The 19,563-nt window shown below is 54.0% G+C and overlaps 4 annotated features.

The window, feature by feature from the left end:
• Positions 12,718-13,218: an enhancer, noted in NCBI's record as "H3K4me1 hESC enhancer chr22:49417121-49417621 (GRCh37/hg19 assembly coordinates)". NCBI's record gives its function as "activates a minimal SCP1, AML or CMV promoter by ChIP-STARR-seq in naive and primed H9 embryonic stem cells {active_cell/tissue: H9 hESC(naive and primed)}" and the evidence as "EXISTENCE:reporter gene assay evidence [ECO:0000049][PMID:30033119]".
• Positions 13,219-13,719: an enhancer, noted in NCBI's record as "H3K4me1 hESC enhancer chr22:49416620-49417120 (GRCh37/hg19 assembly coordinates)". NCBI's record gives its function as "activates a minimal SCP1, AML or CMV promoter by ChIP-STARR-seq in primed H9 embryonic stem cells {active_cell/tissue: H9 hESC(primed)}" and the evidence as "EXISTENCE:reporter gene assay evidence [ECO:0000049][PMID:30033119]".
• Positions 15,237-15,736: an enhancer, noted in NCBI's record as "H3K4me1 hESC enhancer chr22:49414603-49415102 (GRCh37/hg19 assembly coordinates)". NCBI's record gives its function as "activates a minimal SCP1, AML or CMV promoter by ChIP-STARR-seq in primed H9 embryonic stem cells {active_cell/tissue: H9 hESC(primed)}" and the evidence as "EXISTENCE:reporter gene assay evidence [ECO:0000049][PMID:30033119]".
• Positions 18,390-19,281: an enhancer, noted in NCBI's record as "H3K4me1 hESC enhancer chr22:49411058-49411949 (GRCh37/hg19 assembly coordinates)". NCBI's record gives its function as "activates a minimal SCP1, AML or CMV promoter by ChIP-STARR-seq in primed H9 embryonic stem cells {active_cell/tissue: H9 hESC(primed)}" and the evidence as "EXISTENCE:reporter gene assay evidence [ECO:0000049][PMID:30033119]".

The raw sequence follows: 19,563 nt of genomic DNA, 5'->3' as shown, positions 1-19,563 counted from the left end.
CTGCCTCCCAGGTTCAAGTGGTTCTCCTGCCTCAGCCTCCTGAGTAGCTGGGACTACAGGTGCATGTCACATGCACAGCTGAGTTTTGTATTTTTAGTAGAGATGGGGTTTCACCATGTTGGCCAGGATGGTCTCGATCTCTTGACCTCACGATCTGCCTTCCTTTGCCTCCCAAAGTGCTAGGATTACAGGCATGAGCCACCGCACCAGGCCATAGTTGTTTTCATTGTGATTTAAATGAAACTTCAAGCTCTTAATCCCATAGTCCTGTAACAGGATATCTGCGGTGAGGATGCTGCTCTCTGCCCCCTGCAAACTCTAGAACACCGTGAGGCCCCCACCTGCTTCCATGTGAGAGGAGCTGGAGGTGGAGGACGTCAACTGAGAAACGTCCCATTTTAGGATTTTATGCACATTTTGAAGTTAAGTACAGAATTGAGCTGAATGACAGCCAGACAGGGAAGCCACTCCTGGGCAGAAGGAAGCTGCAGACTGGAAATGGAGAACATTCCAGAAACTGGCAAGGCTGCCCTGGAGCAGGGCTGGGGGCATCTCACTCATGAATCTCACACCCACTACAGAAAGAAGTACCTCATGGAGCCACCAGCACTGAGGGCCCTAGGGCAAGGGTTGGGGACGGAAGGACTCCACCTGGCACGGTGGACTCAGAACAACGGCGTCTCAAGTAGGGTGTGTGCAGCTTGGAGCTGGAGCTCTTCCATGCCACCACTGACCTGGAGCTGGGCAGCTGCTGTCATGTGCAGCCTCACGATGCCTGTGTAACGCGGAGGCAGGAAGCATCACTCCTGTCTTTAGGAGCAAAGGAAGGAGCTCAGGGTGGGCACACGACCCACCCAGCATCGCAGAGCCCATGAGTGTCCTCTGAGACTGAAGATTTCAAAACTGGCCACGATGTCTCTGGGTCGGTGGTGGGCTCCTGTCTGTGAGATCCAGCATCTTACACTTCACACCCCAAGTTTCAGGGGAGAAGGGCGGAAAGAGATGCCTCTCTTAGGGAAACCAGGGAGAGAGGGGTGAAGACGGCCACCATCACCAAGTGTACTGCGTGTCCACCTATCCACATACGTCGACTAATTACCCCCAACTAAATACGGATTATTGCGTCTGTTCCACAGAAGATAAAACTAAGGACCAAAGAGGCTCCCCAAAGTCCCACGGCCCCCCAGAGGGTGCGGGCCGGGTGGGAATTTAAACTGGTCTTTCTGTCTCCAGGGCTGGAGCCAGGCTCTGAAGCTGCCTTGCCCCCTCCAACCTTGTTCCTTTTGGGAGTTGGTCTCCCTCCAAGCACGCTGATCTCTCCCCTCCTTTCAGGAGGCCAGTCCTACCAGCCCCCCGCACACAGCGGACTCGGTGCTGCCAGACCGCAGCACACAGACTCCCCAGAAATGTCTTTCCCAGGCCCAGATACTTGATTTCACCACGTGGCCCTCAGCGGAGGCTGCGTTCCTGCTCAGCCTCTGCCTTTTGGCTGCAGGGCAGCCTGGCGAGCGTGGTCTCCACCAAGCACTTCCCTGTACCTCAGCAGCCGACAGTGGCATTTGGGGACCTTGTTTCTGGGGAGCCTGTGGCAATGCGTCTCTCCTGTCTCAGGGACACACCAGCCGTCTTCCTCTGAGGCCCCTGGGGCAGGTCACACCGCTCAGTGGGTCCGCCCGGCAATGGCAAGTCTGTGTCCTCTGCCGGCCCGGGGTGTCTGATGTCCGGGAGAGGACTTGGGAGAAGAGTCTTTTGTTAGCAAAAGGTCACAGGGACGCTCACCTTTGCAGTGCACCAAGAAGACAAAGGCTGTCCTCGGCATCCGGAGCATCCGTATAATTCATGCCCACAGCAGGGATTGAGCCTTCTGAAAAATGCAAACTCACGGCTCCAAACTGCTGGCTGAGGATCATGGGATGAGGAGGCAGGGAGAGTTTACTGAGATTCCGGGCATTTTCTAAACTCCCTGCTCTGCAGTGCTGTGGGGGGACGCAGGATTCTCCTGCTCTGCTGGCAGGGGTGGCCCAGCTGTGCGTACCAGGAGCCCGGCAGCCTGCTCCATCTGCCTGCTCACTTGCTACGGGGCGTCCCCGGCCTCCCTGCCCCTGCTAACACGCTGCTGGTGGTCCCAGCACCCTCCGGCCTGGACTCACTTCCCTCCATGCCCGGCTCTCCAGGGGGCTCCTACGCACCCTCCCTGGCTCAGGTCCAGGGCAGAGACCCCAGTGAAGTCTCCAAGGTGGCCCTGCTTTCCCTCCTCCTTCAGAACTGCTCCCACCCGCCTGCAGGCCCCAGGCATCTTCTCCCATGGAGGCTACTGCTCTGCTCCACACCCACCCCGGCTCCCATATGCAAGCCCAGGGAAGCATCTGCCTAGGGATCAAGCTGAATCCACTGCCTATGTGTGGCATGGAGGCCCATGTGCCCACCCCTCTGATGGGCACTGCCAAGGGGTCCATGGAGAAGAGGCAGAGTCCCTGTCCAGGGCCCTAAGCCTTCATTGAGGGAAGAGGCCCCCGAGGCATCAGGCATCAAGGCAGCAGGCAGACCTACCCCCTCGGATGGCTGCATGGACACCAGGGCAGGGGGTGACTGGGGCCTCGAGGGCTGGAGCAGGGAAGGCTTCATGGAGGAGGGGGTATTTGGATACACCTTGGTGAATGGGGAAGAGTTGATGGGGAGAAAGGTAGAGGGAAGACAGGGAGGAAGGAAAAGTGGAGGGCATGACGGTGGGAAGGGCTGGGCATCCATGCTGACAGCTGGAGGGGGAAGGAGAAACATGGCTTTAGAATTGGGTGAGGGGCACCCTGACCCCACTCATCCCCCAGATGGCCACCCCTCTGGGGCTTCTGAGTCCAAGGGAATGTGTCTGTTTAATATTAATAGACATTTTCCATTTATTTCCAAAGAAAGGCTGCAAATCTAATTGTCACCATCAATGTCAGGAGCTCTTGTTGCCTTGTATTTCCCCTGACAATTATTTTAAGCATTGCCAATCAAATATGTGAAAGACAGCAAGTCAATCAGACACATAATTATTCATAAAAATGAGTTTGAACTTCTATCAACAGTTCCTCTTCTTTAAATTGCCTATTTACACCCCTCATTAATTTTGCATTTTGCTGTTAGAACGTGTCCTGTTTGTTTCTGTGCATGCCTTGCCTATGGTGGACATTTGACTTTGGGGTTTCTGAACTTGCTCCCGGGCCCTTCCTTCAGCAAGAGCCAGACCAGCCTCACTTTCAACACCTGTGAAGTTGTGGGGTGCTCGGACCTTGATTGCCTGTCTACCGCCTGTGATGACTGTATTCCCTGGGGTGTGTGTGACATTCATACACACCCATGTGCACACACATACATGTATGTGCACACACCAAAGGCATTGAATGCCTTGATGTCTAGGATGTGAATTTCAGAGAGCCTGGGCCAGCATTTCCGGGAAGGGTTGGCATCTGTGAAGATCACAGTTACAAACACACTTGAGAGGTCTCTTCTCAGCTGGCTTCTGAATTTTCATCTTCTCATGCTTTTAGTAACGGCACAGAGTAAGCATATTACACTAGCAAAGTGTGACTCTTAGGATGACTGGATATAAAACGACCAAAAAGAAACCATTTTTTTTTCTACACTAGCAGCAAACAGTTAGACATGGAACTGGATAATAATCTCCCATTCAAAAATGGCAGCATAAGCCATACACACTGCAGGGAACTAAATGAAAAAGGCACAGATCTCATAAGAAGAAAAATATGAAATGGTGCTGATAGCCTAAGAGAAAGACCTGAATGAATAGAAAGAAATTTGGGATTACTAGGAAAACTTGACACTATAAAAATATGATTTCTCTTCAGTATTTTATTACTTAATCTAACTATGAAAAGAAAGCAATCCCAAATAGAATCGGAGCGGAGTTTTCTTTGATATGGTACAGATAATGTTAAAATTCACCTAAAGGAACAGCCAGCTCTTTATCTGAAAATATTTTTTTAAAGAGCTAACAGTGAGGGGGCACTCACCTTATTAGATAAAAAGCTCAATACAGAGCAGCTTTGGCCCAGGGATCAATGACTAGATGCCTAGAACAAGTCATAGAAATATCTAGCTGGGTGTGGTGGCTCACACCTCTAGCACTTTGGGAGGCCAAGGCAGGAGGATCACTTGAGCCCAGGAGTTTCAGACCAGCCTGGGCAACATGGAGAAACCCTGTCTCCACAAAAAGTTAAATTATCCGGGTGTGGTGGTGTGTACCTGTAGTCCCAGCTACTCAGGAGGCTGAGGTGAGAGGATCTCTTGAGCCTGGGAGGTTGAGGCTACAGTGAGCCATCACTGCACCACACTGCTCCAGCCTGAGAGACAAAGCAAGACCCCGTCTAAGAGAAAATCTAGGTCCATTTTGTTATGGAAACTCAGCTAATTGTGGTTTCTTAATCTTATGGAGAAAGGATAATTTATTTTATTGGTATTAACCTAACTGACCACTTGGAATTAAAAAAATGTTTCTTCCTCATGCCTAATTATAATGAGTTCAACGCTGATCAACTATCTATGAAAGTAAAACATTAAAAAGTCTTAGAAGAAAATGTAGATGGAGCTCAGCCTTGGCAACTTGGTGAAATCCTGTCTCCACGAAGAAACAAAAAAGAATTAGCTGGGTGCAGTAGTGCATGTCTATGTTCCCAGCTACACAGAAGGCTGAGGCAGGAAGATCCCTTGAACCTAGGAGTTCCAGGCTAAATCGAGTATGATCACACCACTGCTCCCCAGCCTGGGTGATAAAGCAAGACTCACAGGACTCTGTCTCAAAAAAAAAAAGAAAGAAAGAAAGAAAGAAAAGAAAGAAAATTTAGAATAACATTTGTCTAGCTTTTGAGCAAGGAGTTTTCTTATAACAGAAAATCAAGAAGCCATATTTGAGAATATAGATACATTTGACTACACAAAGCTTTAAAAAAGAGTGGGTGTCAAAAATTCTATAAACATTCTAAAAATTCTAAAACATAACATACACCTGTAATGTATCTTTTTATTTTATATATTTATATATAATTTATATATATTTTCCTCTTTTAACCACGAAAAGTTAGTCTTCATAATGGACAAGGCATTTCTACCATTGAACACGAAACATCCTAACACCAAAATATACAATTAACAAAGGGTTTGAATAGGTAATTTAAAGAAGAGGAAATGTTAATATATATTCAAACTCATGTTTCTTTTATTAACAATTATATTACAGATGGCCTTACTATCTTTCATCTGTTTGGCTGGTAACACAAAGAACTGTCGGAAGGCAACTGCAGGGTGACAGGCGCTCCTGACTTGGTGAAATTTAGAATTGCAACAGCTTTCTTTGGAAGTCATCTGGCAATCCCTATTTAAAATACACTTTAGTCATAATTCTTGCATTTCAAAGTTGCTCCTTCCTCCACAAGAGCCCGCGGTGAGGATGTCTGCAGGCGTCTCTGGACAGTCTCTGCCTCGTCCAGCTCAGGAGCCATGAGCCACGTGTGGTTACTGAACACCTGATGTGTAGCTGGTGCAGAGTTTTTATTTCACTTCATTTCAATGATTTTAAACAGCCACATGTCATGTGTGGCCACTGCATAGGATAGTGCAGCTCTGAGCAGTCGTGAAACCGATGACCTGGATCTCAGCTAATGCTGCAGGAGGAGAAGAAGAAAGAGAAAGAAAAAGAAAAGAAAGAAAACAAGTTCCTCCACAGCTGCCAGCTGGCTGAGCTTCAATCTTTATGGACCAAGTGTGTACTGAGTAACATGTCTGAAAACATAAAGCCTGTGCCCTCAGGGAGCTTACATTCTAGCAGGGGGGACTCAGGCATGAAAATGGAAGGTCTTATAAAGAGGAAGCAGTGAGCCAGGTGCCTGCCCCCCAGACAGCCCGGGTCACACAGGGTTTTGCGAGGAGACCCCACACCGCACAGGCTTGAGGCTTCCCTTCTCACCCCTGCTCTGTCCTCTGTGAAGTTCCAGATCTGCACCTTCCAGGGCAGAGGATGGTGCCTCCCACTGAGCACATAAAAAGTGTTTTGACCACCACAAGCCCTGCCTCGATGGGTCCCAACCCAGACAGTGCTGGGACACAGAGTCCATCCAGCCAGGAGCAGACCCAGCACTGACCGGGGGAGCTGCTGCCGCTTTCCAGAAATTTGCTTCCCTGACAGCACGGCCTTGTCCACTCTGGCTCTGCCAACTCTGCCCCTCTGGACTCCTCCAGGCAGGGTGAGGACATGAGAGGTGGGCGGCAGGGTGGGGATATGTGAGGTAGGGTGAGGGTGGGCAGCAGGGTGAGGACACGTGAGGTAGGGCGAGTGTAGACACACCCCTCCTGCTCCTTCTCCTGCTCAGCTGGTGTGCAGAGCACAAAGGCCTCCATCCCTTCCCTCCCCTTCCTCCCTCCTTCCTTCTGTACCTCCATGAATTGAGGGGAAGGAGACCGTGGCACAGCACTGGGTTTGACTCTGGGCTCCATGACCCATCAAGGGTTCTAGCAGCTGGGGCAATAGGAAAGTTATTGATTCATTTCTGCTTCTGTAAAACAGTAGAGGACCTGTCTTATAGGGTGACCAGGAGGTTTAAATAGTAGAAGTGGAAACCACGTGAACAGGGCCAGCGGCAGCAGGTGCTCAGTCACTATCAGTGGCTGTCAGGATGACATCTCTGCGTCTCTGGTTCTTCATCTAGAACACGGGATCGGTGATAACCCTCTTACGTGGGATTGCTCTGCATGTTAGAGGAGGGTGTGCACTGGTGGCTGCAGCAGGACCGTGGTCAATACGCATGCTCTCGTCACCCTCGGAGCCATCTTGCCTTTGTGGTCTGTGTCTTCCACCAAACACACAGTGCAGAGGAGGCGAGGGGAGCCCTGGATGGATGGGGGAGGCGCAGATGTGCGGCCACTGTTCCAGGACATTGGCCACTGGAGTGCCAGGGCAGAGGAAGAGGAGACACCCGGCAGGACAGTGAAGGGGCAGTGAGGAGGGAGGAGCAGTCCTGAGGAAGCAAGGGGGCAAGAGTGCAGTGAGACGACGAGATGGTGTCCAGCAGCCAGTGAGGTCAGGGGATGCAGGGGATGGGAGACGGGGCCCGGAGCTTGGCTCTCTGTCGCCCAGGATGGCCAGTGGCTGGAGAGTTTTACTGGCAAGGTGGATGCAGAGACCAGGCTGTGAGGGCTGCCGAGGAGTGGAAGCAAGCAGCACAGGGTGGCTTTCCAGGCCCTGGGGAAGTGGGGAAGGGAGGAGGAGAGAGGGAGGCAGATGGCAGAGTGTCTGTCGCCTAAAGAGCAGTGCAGAGAATGAGAGCAGTGCTGTCTTACTCTGATTTGGTTTTGAAGTGTTTGCGTGTTACATTTCACATTGTTTGATGTCTCTCAAAATGGGGAGAGCTTTGAGGCAGGACATTTGATTGACATTCACAGGCAGGGCCCATAGAGCCTGGGGGCTCAGACCCAAATGTCTGCAACTCATGTCTGTGTGCAGGAGACGTCTGGGCTGGTGCCCAGAACCATCTGCCCTTGTCTCCAGCCCCGCAAGCCACTGGCAAGCCAGGTCGACCTCTAGGGGGTGGAAGCACGCCACTGCTGGGGCACTCAGCAGACATTTGCCCTGGAGATGAGGTGGGTGCATGAGGTGCCCTGTGGACCTCACAGAGTCCTCCCCTTCAGGCAGGCTGAGCTGCTCCTGCAAGAGGCAAACCTGCAGTCAGGAGGATGTGCCCCATGGGGTGGCTTCCCAGGAAACTTCAGTGACATGAGAGTCTTCTTAGCTGTGAAAACAGATACAGGGCATCCAGTGTGCTTCCCAAGAACCACCACCAGAAATCACCACCCAGGAGAAGAGCTGCCCCAGTCCTTGCTGCCCTCAGAGAACCCCCAACCGAGCTGCAGTTGGCTCCTCAGTCAGATGGGAGCGGGCAGCAGCTGCCTGGCTGGTCTTCAGTTCGCAGCTCAAGCAGGGGCAGCGGGGAAGCTGCAGTCTCGCTATCTGGGGTTGCTTCTCCCCTGGACTTGCCTGAGCCTTCTACTGCTGAGCACTTTGCAGCCTGTAAACCAGCAGCCAATGGGTGCTGGGAATTTAAAAGGTAAATAAAATGTGTATTTCTTACACTTGCTGGGGAAAAAAAATCAATATCACACATGTACTGATGCTAGACAGGCAGCGAGATGCTGAGGAGTGCCGCGGGCCTGCGTGCCAGGCGCAGGCATTCCGAATACATTAGAGAAAGAACCTTCGCTTCCTTTATGGTCACACTTTTATTGAAGACTTCCTTCTGTGCCAGAGCAACACCATCCTCGCTTAGCAACACAGATCAAGTCCTCATCCTTCACAACATATGTAAATAACAGTGAAAGTAGCATTAAGGGAACCCTTTCCAGTCAGGAGGAAGAGGGCGGGCACCTGCCGCTAATGCCAGGGTGGGGGAACATAGCCCCTGCCAGAGACTTCCCTGTCGCGGGCCCCGCCCAGGTGACCCCCCAGGGACCCCACCCAGCTGACCCCATCCAGGGGCTCCACTCAGGTGTCCCTGCATGTGTCCCGTCCCAGGCACCCCCCTCAGGTGTCCTCCCCAGGTATTCCCACCTGCCCCAGGTACCCCCCCGAAGGTGTTCCGCCCCAGGTATCCCCACTCAGGTGTCCCTGCCCAGGTGTCCCACCCACCCCAGGCAGGTATCCCCTAGAGGTGTCCCCACCCAAGTATCCCCTCCCAGCTCCCCCGCACCATGGCCCTGCCTCCAGTGGCCCCACTCAGGTAGGTGTCCTTATCCCATGGGTCCCCCCCCCCAAGATGAGCTCCACTGTTTTCCAGGGTGGAGCTTTATCCCAGAAGGATGGGAGCCGGGGGCGTTCCCGCCTCAGCCCCACCAGGCTCCCCACACATCCATCCCCCAGGGGAAGGGCTGGCCTGTGTCTTTGTGACGATGTTGCTTATCTTTGCCAAGAGGTCTGTCCTGCTCTGCAGTTCCGGCCTCAGAAAGGCAGGCCCCCTTTTCCTGTGTGGCTCCAACCCCTCACCTGTGCCAAACGTGGGACCCTTGTTTCGTGTGACTCCAGAGTGTCTCCATCAGACGGTGAGGGGACTGCAACCGTGTGTCTGACCATCATTTTCCTCTTGCCCTGTCCTGGGCCTGGGCTCTTGGAGGATGAGAGACACTCAGCACTGAGGTGAAACCAGCTGGCCTCAGGGTTTGGGGGAGACGGGCCCAGACAGGATGCGAAGAGCAGCCTTGCTTACCCCACTGCCCCCATTGGCTGCCCAACCCTCCCCACTCCCGGGCTGCCCCCCAGTTGCCCAGCGGTGCACGTGTTCTGCTGTGGGCTGCTGAGCTCCCAGCTTGTCTGTCACCCACATCACAGCAACAGCAGGGAGGCACCCCACCGGCACTACCTCTGGGGAACCCCTGAGCTCCTCCTTCCTGCTGAGTAGGGCTGAATTCCAGCGAGGTGCAACCCAATGCCTTCCCCTGTGGAAGAGCCAGGGCTCAGCCAGGGAGGGAGCGGTCTCTTGGGGATTGGGGCCTCCCTGAACCCTGCACAGGGTGACTCACCGCCCCGCTTGCCAGGACTAAAGCGTCCCCAGGATGTTGGGAAGGCCGCAGGCACACCTGGATGTGGTGGTCACCTGAGCCCAGGACGCAGGAGCTTCAGCTCCTCTGCTCCATGTGGGTCCCCTTGGGGTCTGGGCTCGTGCTCTGGCGCCGTGGAAAGTTTCCTAAAGTGCCTGGGCCTCAGCCACAGAGTAGGCTCCACACATCCCTGCTCTGCCCCAACCTGGGGCCCCGCCCATAACAGCAGGTTTCTCTCATCCACCAGCTCCGACGCTGCACCACGGGCATGCACCCTGGTGCTCTCCCTGGAAAAGCACCTTGGCCACCGGAAGGAGCCTGCACTGCAGGCAAGAGCCATGGGACCTCAGGGGCTGATCCAACTGGTCGCAAGGGTCTGGCCAGGAGATGCTGGCATGGAGCCCACCCCAGGGCACCCGAGGGCACCGCTTCTGCCCGGGCTCCCCTTTGCTCTTGCCTTGCGGGGAAGGAGAAGTGGAAAGTCCCCTGCCCTGACCACAGAGCAACTGCACACCACGGTGGACGTGGCCAGGGCACCTTCCAGCTGTCCCGGTGCAAAAGCCCCAGCAGGCGCCTCTGACCCACGGTCTGAGCACAGGGCAGAACGCAGGTCCCGCAGGGCGTATGAAAACGTCACGAAACCCGTTACCTGGTTCACATGCATAAAGAGGCAAGATTCGTGGTGGCGTGGTGACGGTGCAGCCACGCTTTCTGCTTCCTGCGAGCTTCCTGAGCCCCACCAGAGCAATGCGCCGGGAGTCTGTTTCAATTGTGCTATTTCAAGTAATTTGAACTCCGATATCACTAACGGGCAGGAACAGACTCCCAAATTTACCTGCATGCATTGAAGCCTGGAGCGTGTGGCCGGCCACAGATGCAGGCCCCACGCAGGTGATCTGTTGGCCAGAAAGATCCACCCGGCTACCTGAGCCCCACGACAGGGCTGCCTGCCGGGACCCACGTGTCTAGGAAGCTGGCTCTGACCAGCACCAGTGGGATTCTTTAACTAGGACTTGAGGAGACAATCAAAGGACATCCAGGTCCACACTCGGAAATGCACTCAGACACTGCTCATCAGTTAAGGCCGGCCCTGCGGGTGGTGACCAGCCGAGATTCACACATGCCAGCTGGGGTGCTGGGTCCAGCCTTGAGCTCATTTGGAATCAGGCAGAGGAGCAACTTCCGGCTCAGACCCGGGATCCAGGATTCCTCTCCCTGGCTGTCGCCCAGGTGGTGCCTGGACTCTCCTTGCTCGTTCCGGTTCCATTTCCACCCCGTGTTTCCCGGCGCCACAGCCCTTCCCACCAGCACATCGCCTCCAGGCTCCTGCAAAAGGATTTGGTGGGATTTTCAGTGAGAACCTGAGCTGAGCTCTGGGAGGCTGCTCACCTGCTGTCCTCTCCTGGGTGCTGCCTCCTGTCCCTTGAGAGGGCTCCACTCGGGTCGGCTGCCTCTGCTTCTGGCACATGGCACATGGCACATGGCAAACCCAGCCCATGGCAGAGGGGGCTGTGGCCACAGGTAGAGCTGGAGGGTGCTCCCCTAACAACTGGGGGCATAAAATCCTTACACAGCAGAGACTCACCAGGAGAGCTGGCAGGCGGCCGGGCCCCTTTCCTTCCAAACCTCTCCCCTCCTGTCTACCCTGTCCTCACACTTCTCCGCAGCACCCGCCCACGGAGCAGGAGAGCTGCACACACCTGGAGACTTCCACAGTGATTCAGAGGCTGCTTCAGCCCTCACAGCCGGCTCTCCTCACCTGCCGTTCCACACTGACGGGTGGGGAGGGTAGGAAACAAGGGCTGCCCGGGCTTGGGGTGCAGTGGGGTCTGTGTGTGAGCCTGTGGAAACAGCAGTCCTCAGGGGCCGCCTCCCCACTCATCAGTAACATTAGAGGGTCCCATCACCTACTGATGAGGAGAGGCTGACCTGCAGGTGGAACCGTGAGAGAAGCACCCAAAGGTGGACACGGCCCAGGAGAGCACTTCTGTCCTCTTCTCTTCCTCTTGGAGAGTCCAACAAGGGCTTGTGGCAGCCACAACTGCAGCCACCCCAGGAACCTTTCACCTGGGACCTAGCTCAGCTCTTCCCTGGCCACCCTGCAGTGGATCTCTTACCAGAACAGAGCCCATGGTGGCCACTCTGCCCGGTGCAGGCTCTGGCCCTCAGGGGCTCCTCTCCTCCCCCTCCTCTTTCTCCACACCAAGGCTGTGGCTGGGGGGAACCAGGCCAAGGCCCTCCCCTGTGTTTCCCTCTATGCCTTGCCCCATCCAGAGGCCACACTCAGGAGGGTTTGCTGGATCTGTTACACAGGAACAGAGAGCGGCAAAGCCAGGGCCTGGCCGAGAGCAGCAGATCCTGGCTCCCTGCAAGGATTCCAGGAGCACCTGCACAGCCTTCCCACTCCAGGCTGGGTCATGTCAACGTGTTTGAACCCTTCTCAGCTGTGCAGCACGAGTGTGGAGTAGGGCAGGGCCTCTGCCACTGCCGTGGGGGTCGGGAGCCGGGGCCTCTTCCTCTGGCCTGAATGTTCTGCCAACCCCATGGTGCCAACCCCAGGTGCCTCTTCCTCTGGCCTGAATGTTCTGCCAACCCTGTGCACGGCACTGCTGGCAGAGACAGAGAATCCCTAGGGGTGAGGTCTTTGGGAGGCCCCTCCTGGCTTCCACTCTCTGCGCTCCCCACAGCCTGGACAGGCTCAGAGCCTGGGAGAACACAGGCTGCCAAGCGAGGTGCCAAGCGGGGCATCTGTTCTCCCGAGTCGTCTGCACGCCCGGCCTTCTTTCTGTTTGCACACACAGAAAAAAGAGGATGTCTCCATTTTGCGCCTCCGGGGAGGTGTCAGTCACTCGGAGGGAGTTGGTGTAGGTCTCTTCAAGCACAGGCCGCAGGAAATATTTGGTTGGTGCCACAGCTTCCACCATGCGGCACTGAGGAAGGACCTCGGAGGCAGGATGCCCTGTGAGTCTTCCTTGCTCACAGCTGCCCTGACGGGGCCCAGCCAACCTCCCCAAGGGGTTGACGATTCTCTAAGGATCCAAGGAACTGGAGCCCCCACTGCATCCACCAACAGGAGGACACACCGAGTCCCAGGCAGGGGCTGTCACCAGGTGGCCAGAGCCAGTAGGACCAAGACGCCGCGTGTACCCCAGGTCTTCTCCCCGGTGCTCTGGCAGTCAGGCCAGCACGCCTGGCGGCACCTGTCCCCTGCTGTGGGAGGTCATACTCCTGGTTGCCCTGGAAACGGGTCCACAGAGCAGAGGGACTCCCTTCCCTGGGTGGAGATTACAGCCAGTGGATTAGTGGGCAAGCCCAGGGCTACCGGCGGAGGCAACTGAGTGATGGAGTTCTCCGGAGACCCCAGGAATTTGAGCCGGTCTCTGCAGATGCGTTTGCTCTGCCGCTGACCGCAGGGCACAGTCCAGAGTAGCAAAACCCCTTTCTCACCAGCGTGACCTGCCTCATCACCTAGCGCTGTGCCCAGTCCCAGTCTCACTTCCCGAAGGGCCAGTGGCAACTCCTGGGGTGGAGGGCTCTTCAGGCCACACCATGCAGACAGCAGAGGCCATGGAGGTCCTCCCAGCAGGAGAAGGGCAACTGGCAGCCACGGGGACAGAGTTTCCATTTCTAGCAGGAGAGGCCCCGCCATTCTCACGTCCAGGCTCCAGCCGATGTTCGTTGTGTGGCTGCCGGGGACCTGCAATGCAGTGACCAGCTTCACAGAGACCTCGCCTCCATGGTGGCCCTGCAGAGGGGGCAGAGAGCAGCGGGCTGTGGGGGGCCCTGTGCTCCATGCTAGCAGTGGCAAGTGGGAAGGAGAAGGTTCCTCACGGCTGCCGCTGTGCACAAGGCATGTGCCTGTTCTGTGCCCCTGGCCAGGCAGAGCAGGGAGGTTGGAGTAGAGAGAGCCTCGCAATGATAAAAATGACAAAACAATGACAAGCATTTAAAGTGATGGCTATGTTAATTAGCTTGATTTAATTATTCCACATTGTATTCATAAATCATAACATCATTTTATAACCCACAAATGCAGATAACTACTATTTGTCAATTTACAGTTTTTTATATATATATATATATATATATTTTTGGGATGGAATCTCGCCGGAGTCTCGCTGCAACCTTCACTTTACGGATTCAAGTGAGTCTTATGCCTCAGCCTCCAAGTAGCTGGGATTACAGGTGCACACCCAGATAATTTTAATTTATTTTATTTTATTTTTAGTGGAGACAGGGTTTTGCTATGTCTACCAGGCTGGTCTTGAACTCCTGACCTCAAGTGATCCACCCACCTCGGCCCCCCAAAGTGCTGGGATTACAGGCGGGAGCCATTGCACCCGGCCAATTTACAGTACCTTTTTAAAGCACCTAGGGTACATGCGTGTTGTAGTGAACAGCGAGCCAGCCATTGCAGTGCAAAGTGCTGAGGGTATGAGACCCGTGCTTGTGCTGTGCAACATTGTAACAAACACTAAACATGGGAAGCAAAAGGAAACATAGGGATCACAATATGCCTGATTCTGGTAGTTTAACTTCATACAGAGGAACTATTTTAAGTGAATTTTAAACAGTAACTTGTGCATGCTCACTCTGAAAAAAGGCCGCTTTCCCTTAACTGCTGGGTGTAAGAATCTCAGTATTGTCTGGGACGTGTCAGGCAGCTCTTGTTTAATGGGTGTGAGCTGCACATCCTGCCTAGAAGGGACATCTGTTGGGTTTTGTTCCATGAACACCTCGAGGCCCAGAACCACATGCAGAGCCTGGTGTCCTCTGTGAAGGGAGGGTGGTCCCAGGGGCATGTGTGTGGGTGAGGAAGAAGGGTGAGGGTGCTGCACCCCCGTTCCTAACCTCAGGGTTTGCTTCCAGGAAGGGGACCTAAGAGGAGGCCACACAATTGGGTAACAATACACAGCTGATGCATTTTAGCCATGAAGAAAAAGAGGACAATTAGTGGAGCCAAAGAGAGGCCCAGCATGGGGCCCGAAAGGCACTGGTACTGGGCCCAGCCCTGTCCCTGCTCCACATCTGTGGCTTGGGGTTCCCGTCTGTCCCCAGGGACCTGCTGTCCGAGGGGGTGGGTGGATGAGGGTCCCGCTTTATGGTCAAGAATGCTTCCTAGGCCGGGCTTTCCTCCTGAACCACAGCATGACAGGAAGGCAGAATGCTTTAGTGATAAGACCCATCAGTGACCTCAATTTCAAAACTTTCTGTAAAGCAGTGGGAGTTAGGGCAACCCAGTAATGGTTTAAACTCAGATAAATAGTTAGCATTATTTTCAAGTTTATAGAATATATAAATATATTAACACTATATATTATTATCTTATTATATATGCATATGCACATTTCATAATGCATATGTAAGGAATATAAATAAAGACATTGGTCAGCGGCTCACCAGATTCTTCTATCTAAAGCACCCTCTTAGGTCTTGTTGGTCACAGCCTGAGTCATTTGCTTTTTCATTAGGGATTGGAAATGCTGACATTCTGGTTCTGCCATCTTTTCTTGATTCCTTAGCTATCATATCCTATGAAGAAGACATTCCCTCCACCAGCCATCTGGGTGCCCTGGTGCGTCCTGCACAGGAAATGCTGATACCTGTGTAATCCTTTCCTCTTACTAGTTTTCTGAAGAATCAGTTGATTCTTTAGTTTTTCTTAAACTGACCTATGTTTTTGGAAGGCCATTATGAACTCCCATTCTTAACATATCTAATGTGCTTTAATTAATTGTAGTTATTCTCTTTGATGCTGAAATTGCCACATCTTTACGTATATGCACATAAATACCAATACATCTCTGTACACATGCAGCCCAAATGGCCATGCAAAGCGTGTTACTATCGACACAGGCACATTTAGTGGCACCTCTCAGCCTCTCCCAGTGCAGCAGACACTGGCTCATTTAATCCTCAAGGCCAAACCATGGAGCAGATTCCAGGATTATCACATAGGGGAAATTGAGGCACCGGGAGTTTCAGCTTGCTCAGGGCAGTGGGCCTTTGGGGTCTGTGCTCTCACCCTGGGTGCTGCTTTTGTGCATAACAGCCTGGGTGTCATCAGGGAAGGGAGCGGCGTGGCTGTGCACGTCCACCACCGAACATCACTCTATGCCTGACACCACCGTGAGGCTCAGGGATAAAGCCAACCCCACTGAGGACGGCTCAGAGTCCATCAGCACAGGGAGGGGGACTCGTTCATGCCCCAACACACACGTCCGCAGGGCAGCCCTGGGCCGGTGTTTTCCCATCCTGATAAAAGTCACTACCTCTAACCCCACTGACAGCCTCCCTCAGAACCCCGCACACAAATCAGCTCCTAAATTGCACCTGTTGCTGCCTCTCAGGCCTCTGGGCCTTGAATGAGAGCTACACCTTGAGCCTGTGGACACCAAGGATTCCGGTCGGTGGTCAGTGTGTCCCTCTGCTGCCCTGCGACCCCCACCCTAGTGCTCCAGAAAGGTGACCCTCGACAGCTCCTCCTTCCACAGACCTCCTCCCCTGATAGATTTTTCAGCAGCTCTGGCTTTTTTACCCACAAAATGCAAAGGATTTTATGCAATTGACAGATTATAAAAATAGGTCTATCAAAGTAATTTTTCTTCTCAAGGGGAAAGACCTTCCCACCATCAACAGGTGCACAGCTGTGCTCACCATGCACGGGACCGGGGTTGTTTATCCTCTTCCAGGACAGAGTGAACGTTCCCTCTCCCCCAAAGCCAGCCTCCAAATCCAGGAACTCAAGTTGTAGTTAGTTGTCCCAAGGCAGCTGGGGGCAGGACCCCAACCAAGGCTATCCAGGGGGTGGAGGGAGGCCTGGGGCATGGGGGTGGGGCATGGGGGTGGGGCATGGTCTCCTTGCAGACACTGACCTCTCCCTGCCCCGACACCCTCCTCTGGTGGGGCTTGGGCCGGCCCAGGGCCTGCACTTCCCATGGGGAGCTAAAGGGCTGTCCCAGAGCACTGCAGCTGGGCACAGCTGAGCACACATTCAGGGTCCAGGCTCAGGGACTCAGAGACCCAAGGGGTCTCCTTCCAGGATGACACTGGGACAATTCTGAGGCCCTTGCGCTTTCTCTCTGAAGATCCTGTAGCTCTGGACAGCACGTCCTCATTAAAAACAAATGCATCCCAGAGCCTGTGGACGTGATGTCGCTGGGAGGAGGGACTGGGTGAGCCGGGGACATCGTGAGACAGAAGTGCTGGGAAGGGAACGGCGCGGTCCCTTCAAATAATATGGAAGGGGGAAGGGCGCGGTCCCTTTGAATAATATGGAAGGGGGAAGGGCGCGGTCCCTTTGAATAATATGGAAGGGGGAAGGGCGCAGTCCCTTTGAATAATATGGAAGGGGGAAGGGCGTGGTCCCTGGCTAGGGCTCCACCCCAGGGCCTGTGCCCAGGGACCTAGATGAGTACACACATTTTTGTTTTCCTGCCGAAATATTGCATTTCCCAAGACCACCCTGGCCTGCTACGCCCCCATCCTGTGCCTATAAAAACCTTGAGACCCTAGCAGGTGGACACACAGGTGGCCAGACATCAAGAGGAACACGACAGGCACCAGGAGGCCACCAACTGGCGGAATGAGGCAGAGTTTGGCCAGGGCTGTCAGAAGAGAGCCCGGGGTGCTGAGCAGCCCGACTCCAGGGGAAAACCTTCCTGCTCCATCCCCTTCTGGCTCCCCCATCTGTTGAGAGCTCCTTCCACTCAATCAAACCTTTCACCCATTCTCCAAGCCTAGGTGTGATCCGATTCTTCCGGTACACCAAGGCAAGAACCGGGGATACAGAAAGCCCTCTGTCCTTGTGACATGGTGGAGGGGTTAACACAAGCCTATAGACGGCAAAACTAACAGAGCACCCTGGAACACACGCGCACTGGGGCTTCAGGAGCTGGAAACATCCACCCCTAGACACGGCAGTGGAGTCAGGAGCCCCATAGCCTGCTCGTCTGTCTGCTCCCCTAGAAGTTTGAGCAGCAGGGCATGAAGAATCGAGCCACTCCCCCATCACACGTCCTGCGAAGGGGACAAGGGGACTTTCCCCATTTCAATAGGGTGACCGTGCTTTGACCCAGAGCCCACAGCAGCACTCTGTTAACCAAGGGCTTTTTCCAGGATATGGGCTCCTATCCTTGCTGCTCCTGCCCTGGAGATGTGGGCCCGAGCCCAGGGTTTCCCCCCGATGTCAGCAGGCAACAGTGGGGGTGTCCGGAAAGAGGCCGAGCAGGGCTGGCATGAAGGGCTTTGGGAGAACCCCTCTTGTGTGAAAATGGGGCCCGGGGAGGTCATTTGCCCAGAGTGCACCTCCAGGCCTTGGTGGAAGCAGGAATGGTCTCACTGAGGCCCGCCCGGCCCTCTTGGCCACAGAAACTTCCTGAAGCAATCCGCCAAGAAAAGTGTGCCAAGGGCGGCTTCGTTTCCTGGATCCTCGGACACATTCTAGATAGAAATCTCTCCCTGTGAACACTGCGCCCGGAGCAAAGTTGCCTTCATGATTAGATAAATTATAAACCATTCCATTTATCGGTTCATCTCTCTAATTAGACTTCCGTGAGACCTTGTATCTGCCACGACACACGGATCCCGCACCTTTAATAAATGGGAAGGGAATGATGCTGCCTTCATCTCCCCCAGCCTGAGATAAAAGAATTACTCGGTTTACTTTGGATTAGAGAAGAGCTTTGACCTTGAGTTGGGAGTCATTGTTTTCTGAGTCAACTTTCAATTGGAAACATTGTCGTCTTTCAAAGAAAACCAGAGCCCTGAAAATGTAGCAAAGCACAAACAATGCCTGGCCCACTGCAGACATGGGCGAACCAGAGGCTGCTTTATTAAAAGAAAATAACTGATTTCAAAATGTTATTGCAGCCGGAGACTGAGGCCAGAGGCAACGTGTTTGCTCATCTCCCGCAGCTGCCTGGGGCTGATCTCCGTAATGCATGCCTTAGCAATAATTAGATCCTTAGTAGGCTAATTATTTTGTGAATAAAATCAAACAAAATCAAGTAATTAAACAACAGAGATGTCTAAGTCCCGTCCTGAATGTTCCTGAAAGTCCAGTTCAAAGAGGGGTTTAAAAATAAATAAGGGTGTGGCAGAATTCGCTGCCCCAGGCCAAAGCTCGAGGCTCCTGGTGGCAGATGGAGACCAAGTGTCGGCCCTGTCACTGAGAGACTTGCTGAGTACATGCGAGGCCCGCACAGGCAACCTGGGAGTGCCGGTCATTTTCCGCTTTGAACCTGAGTCCCAGCTGGCAGAGCAGAGCCCCAGGCCCACCTATCAGCAGCAAAGCCAGGTTGGTGGTGAGGGATGGCCAGGGCCTGGAGACAGATGGTCCCTGTGCTGGGCTGGCACCTTGGCAGTGAACCTAGGGTCCTCGGGGGCCTCTTTGGTGAAGTCTCGCCTCTGTGCAGTGCCCGGGGTAGCTACCGGGTGCTGAGCACACTGCCGGCACTATCCAGGTGGTCTCCCTCTCCCTGCCGGCCTCTGATTTGCTTTTTTGGTTTTTGTTTATTTGTTTGTTTTGTTTTGTTTTGAGAGATGGAGTCTCACTCTGTCACCATGGCTGGAGTGCAATGGCGCGATCTTGGCTCACTGCAACCTCTGCCTCCCAGGTTCAAGCGATTCTCCTGCCTCAGCTTCCCAAGTAGCTGGGACTACAGGCATGCACCACCACACCCAGCTAATTTTTGCATTTTTTAGTACAGACGGGGTTTCACTATATGTCGGCCAGACTGGTCTCGAACTCCTGACCTCAGGTGATCTGCCAGCCTCGGCCTCCCAAAGTGCTGGGATTAAAAGCATGAGCCACTGCGCCCAGCCCAGGCTCTTTGTGTGACCACCTGCTCCCAGGCGAGGCTCCTCAGTGGGTGGACCTGTGTTCACCGAGGCCCCACATTCCTTCACTCCGCAGACTTGGGATGGGCGTTCAGTGCCAGCTCTTTACTTCAGGAGTGGGAAAGTGCATGCCGTGATGGCAGC

Source organism: Homo sapiens, chromosome 22 (assembly GCF_000001405.40).
Source record: "Homo sapiens chromosome 22, GRCh38.p14 Primary Assembly".
Taxonomy (NCBI): domain Eukaryota; kingdom Metazoa; phylum Chordata; class Mammalia; order Primates; family Hominidae; genus Homo; species Homo sapiens.
The sequence above is the reverse complement of the archived record's forward strand: the minus strand, read 5'-3'. Positions and strand labels throughout refer to the sequence as shown.